Source organism: Homo sapiens, chromosome 6 (genome assembly GCF_000001405.40).
Source record: "Homo sapiens chromosome 6, GRCh38.p14 Primary Assembly".
NCBI classification, from domain to species: Eukaryota; Metazoa; Chordata; class Mammalia; order Primates; family Hominidae; genus Homo; species Homo sapiens.
Genome location: NC_000006.12, coordinates 169,040,203 through 169,045,580, shown reverse-complemented (window position 1 = coordinate 169,045,580; position 5,378 = coordinate 169,040,203).

Here is a 5,378-nt window from a genome sequence, read left to right as displayed (position 1 = left end):
AAAAGCAAGAGGCCGGGTGCTATGAGCCAGTGCTGGCAACAGGACACCAAAAAGAGCAAGAGGCCGGGTGAGGTGGCTAACGTCTGTAATCCCAGCACTTTGGGAGGCTGAGGTGGGTGGATCACCTGAGGTCAGGAGTTCGAGACCAGCCTGGCCAACATAGTGAAACCCCATCTCTACTAAAAATACAAAAATTAGCCAGGGGTGGTGGCACATGCCTATAATCCCAGCTACTCAGGAGGCTGAGGCAGGAGAATTGCTTGAACCTGGGAGGCTGAGGTTGCAGCAGTGAGCTGAGATCATGCCACTGCACTCCAGCCTGGGCAACAGAGCCAGACTCCATCTCAAAAACAAAAACAAAAAGAGCAAGGAAAGAAAAGTGCAGGCATGCAACTTGTGGCCGTCATTCCAAAAGGACACAAAAACAATGCCTTTTAACACTTTATAGGAGAAGCTTCACCCTTTCTGTGGTGCAGCTGGTGCTGGAAGTTTATTTAACAAACCTTTGGCTGCAAACGTGTTTGACGCAGGAGAAACGTAAAACCACCGTTGAGAGTTAGGTCTTGTGCTTGACCAAAGTCGACAAAGATCCTTTTAAGTTTAATTCAAACAGTTTCATGGGGCGCTCTCACAAGCAGTGTGGCTTTTTTCTACAGCCTAAATAGGAGGCTGACATTATGAGGACAAGAACGTCAACAGCTGTGCCCAGGTGCTGCACAGATGTGCTGACCACCTTTGCCAGCGCGGCTGGGTCCCTGGCCACGTGAAGCCCCTTCAGACTTAGCTGGATGTGGGCAGAAGCAGCGCAGCCTGTCTCCTACATGTCCCTCTCTCTTCTGCAGCTTCTGGGCTGTTTTTATTTTGTAGTCTTTTATTTTTCTCTTTGTGGAAAATTCCCTGAACCAGCGCTTCTGAAAAGAGCTCCAGAAATCCTGCTAGCATTCTTGAGTCAGAAAACCTTGGCATTTTCTATCTCACTCTGGAAAAAGTGTTTGCAGGCAGCTCTGGGACTCCACTTTGCTGACTGAGCAAGCCTCATTCTTCAGGCCCTTAGGAGACCACACCACTGCTTAGTGAGGAAACTCAGGCTGGAAGGTTGGTGGACAGGCAGACGGGTATGGAGGTTTGCAGTAGCTCAGCCTTGGAGGCCTGAAGATTTCAGAAACCTTTCTTTTTCTTCTAATACAGCATTTCTGTAACACAGTTTCCTCAGTTTTATTGTTCTTATGTACTTAACAATGGATCTCACTCGCTCTCAGAAACACGGATGGGCGTCCTCCCCATCACACGGCACAAGCCCATGGCCAGTGAGACTCAGAACCAGCCTGTAAGCTTTTGTGTCTACCTCTCCTGACTGGCGCGAAAATCCTTTGCTTATACTAGCTCAATAATCTGATTTCTCCAGAATACCTTTTCATTGCTTTGGGAAGAAGGCTACTCATACGAAATACAATTCAGAAGCGCATCTTCAGACAGCAGAGGTGCCCCCACGTGAGTATGAGCAATGGCGTGAATGACGCTGTAAAATGTAAATACTTCTCCAGAGGCTACTCCTTTCCATTCTACACACTGTTTCAAAAATTTTGCTGCATTAGCTAATTTATCTCTCACAGGAATGCTCTGAGGAATTATTTAGATTAGACCCATTTTACAAATAAGAAACGAGAAGCACAGTTTGAATGATGAATGCTGCATCCTTTGAGCACCTAAACGTGTTCTTTTGTTTTGTCCTGTGGGAACGAAAGCCCCGTGACAAGGGAAAGTTTAGCGCTCCTGGCATTGGGGTTCTGGAGGGTGCCTCACAAAACCCGGCCAAAGCCGAGACAGCTGCACAGTCATTGAAACCAAATTTCACTTGGCTGTTTATCATCAGTGTCACGACAGACATCCCATATCCATGACCTTCAAGGTATCACTCCAAATCCATGGCTTCCTTATAAAGTATGCACCAAGTGAAACTTGGAAGAAGCGCTGTTTTGAGAATCATCCACTAGAAAGAGGAGCCTCTGGAGAGGGTTGTGCTTGGGGAGCTTCCCCAGGGCCTCCACGTGCAGCAAGTCCAAGTTCTGTTCTGTCTTCAGGGCTTGGTCTTTCCAAGATGAACCCTACTCTCCTCATCAACTGGCCCTGGGTGGTTGGGGGGCAGCGCTGAGTCACAACACGGACGTGGACGGGTACCCAGAGCCCAGCACTGAGCCTGGCACAGAGGCGCTGGGGAAGAGGCAGCACTGAGGGCTTCCTCTATTTCAGAGCTTGGAGTAACCAGGGATGTGGCAGTAAAAACACCTCAATATATGCATGGGAAGGCCCGCAGCTACTTAGGCAAAGCCAGTGTGAAACTGGCTCCCCTGGCTCTCAGCAGGAGCCCCTGCCTACGTGGTGGACACAGAAGGCACGGGCGCTGAAACCTGTCCTGACCAGCATGGGTCACGTCTTCCATAGACTGAAGAACCATTAGAGAAATCAATAGGCTTTCAAAGGGGGTATTGTTTCATCACAGAACAAAGCAGAGCTGCAGCTGGGCAGGTTCCACTCCTTCTCCTTCCAGGGACACCCGTGGCACAGGAAGGAACAGCCAGGGCTGCTACCCTAAGGCATGAGGGTGCTGGGTTCCCGGGACAAGGCTTCTGCCCCAGGCTCTTCTCCCTTTATCCGCTGCCCAAACAATGCTCTTCTTCAGCATCCAGGAGTGGCCACTCTTTGGTAGAGTTTGGTACTTCTTTGGAGTTGGCATAGCTGTATTATGATTATGATGTTCAAGCTTCCGTTTTACACCAGTTTGAGCTTTCTGGTAGAATTCTAGTTATTTCTCTGCCTGTCCACCACATCCTCCCCCTGTGCCCCCTAAAGTAATCAGCACTTTAATTAATTCTGAGTTAAAGAAAGCCGAACAAAGATTTGGTTAAAATTCCTATTTTGGAGGCATGTTGTTTAACACGTTGGGTCTCACGTGTGGAATACAGCAAGTTGAATTCCATTCTGTGTATAGGAGGAAATCGACTTCATAAATACTCATTCTAATGAGCTAGTTAAATGCTGGGAGTGCCCTCAGTTTAAGCCCAAGTGGATCCTTCTCCCTTCACTGCCAGCAGCTGAGAGGATCTCTTCCTGTGTGTAGCACTGGACACGGTGTTGTGCGTGCTGAAAGTTCAGGAGTTCGAAGTGAAATATTGAGTCCAGGGGTCCTTAAATATGAGCGGGTTATGTATGTAAGAAAAGCAAATCAGTGTCATAGATTCAGCAAGCCCATCTCCACCACCTGCCTGCAACATCCTCTTTCTTCCTAAGTGGGGGCATTTTTATTACAATCTGTTGATTTCAAGTTCTGAAACACCATGAATCACTCTGTTTGCACAACATTGCATACTTAGCAAGGTATAGCAAATACTTTATAACCATAATTTTTTGTAAAAAGAAATTCATATTAAACTATTCAAGTCCTACCAAGGACAGCCTGCTGTTAGCTTTTCTGACAGCAGAGTTTCAGAAACGCTTCCCCAGGAAGCCCCTCAACCAGCCATGGTGGGGAGAATTCTGAGCTTCCCTCGGGGCCATTTTCACAAAACAGCAGTTAACTCTAAACTTAGAAGAAGCCACAGAAAATTCTCCAATTGATCCTGGGGAAAAAGGAAACACAGGAGAGGGGGTGACCACATGCCCCATGTCCTCTGCAGGGCCAAGCCCTGCAAATGGCAGGTCAGCCTTTGCTGGTGGCTGTCAGCGTCTCCTGGATCCTCGTTCTCCCTCGTGAGATCATCTCTGCTCATCATCGTCCCTCATGCGGAATCCGTGTCCAGGCGACCATCCCTGCTCTCCAGGGTCGGTCTCTTCCCTGCACGGTGCTGTCCTCTCAGCAGCCAGGCCTGTGCTCACATCACTGTGATTTGATAAAATGTTCCCCCTCCCCTCCCACTGTGGTTTGCACTATTTCCCAAAAATGGAATGGTGAAGTCTTCAGTCCTGATGCCTGTAAATGGGACCCTATTTGGAAACAGGGTCTTTGCCATTAATTTCAGAGGAGCTCACTAGGGTGGGCCTGATCCCGTGTTGCAAGCGCCCTTGTAGGAAGGGTTTAGGACTGAGCCCACGACGAGGCCTTGTGAAGGGCAGAGCCAGGGGATGGCCCTGTGATGATGGAGGCTGAGCTGGGAGGGTGCGTCTGAGCCAGGGAATGTCGGGGACGGCTGGTGTCCCCAGAAGCTGAGAGGGAGCCCGGCCCTGCAGACATCCAGTGTCAGGCTTCAGCCCCAGAGCTGTGAGAGGGTGAGAGGGTCCATCTCTGCCACTCCCAGCAGCCCGGGGAAACACACACACCACTAGCCCCGAGCCCCAGGCCTGCTTTCCTGCCCCTTCTTCACCTCCTCCACATTCTCTCCACATTTGCCTCTCAGCGTCTTTGCTCCCTGTTCCATTTGCTGGTTGATCTGGGAGCTCGTTTCTTCCTTAATCCCTTATAATCTCATGGAATGATGTTTGGGAGCCCCCCAGATAACTCCGGAGAACAGAGGCTGGGCCAGGTCTTTCAACTGGGATTTATTGCACAGGTTCCTTCTGAGATTCGGCCGCCTAGGCCCCTGAAATCAGAGGCAGTGCCTACCAACAGCTACCAGGGGTGTGGCTGAAGTTAAAGTTTAAGGAATTGGCGGACAGTTCCCTCGCCCATCACTCGTCTAACTCAGAAAACACATCCTGTCTCCATCGCAGGGTGGGCAGGGTGCATCCGTCTAAATTGGCTGTAATCCTCTTTCTTTCCAATCCAGTTATTAACACAGGGTGTGGCAACGCAGTCCAAGCCCACAGGTGGGTCTCCCAACGCCACACATCTGCCGATTGTTACTAAGAGTTTTCATTTTCACCTTTTTCCCTTTGCTTCAGTTCATTTACCATCTTTGGTCCTCATGAGCGCCCCAGGAGCTTGAAAATCCAGATTAGGGTTGAATGAGGGTCCTCACTGGCATCCACTTTTCCCTCTCTCTTCTCCCCTCTCTGTCTCTTCCACTTTCTCTCCCTCTCTCTCATAATTTGTAGTTTCTTCTACAAAGTTGAGAAATATATGAGAAGAACATAAATAAATGAGAAAGGTAGAAAACATACGGTTTCTCAGAACGGTTCTCTCTGAGTCTATGAAGATTTTCTAACAATCCTAGGATTTAAATTATCCTCAGTGGCATTAAAATGTTACTCTGGGCATAGAAAGAGCACAGTCAGCAGAGAGAGAAACAAAGTCTGCTGTGTGTGTCTGGGGCGACTCAGGCCCGGGCCTCGCAGGGCACCCATCCCTTCCTACCCAGTGCATGCACGGGGCTGCTCCTCATGGGAGTCCAGGGTGGGGCAGCTCTTCCATGGATGCTTTATACATCAGCCCACTTTCTATCTAC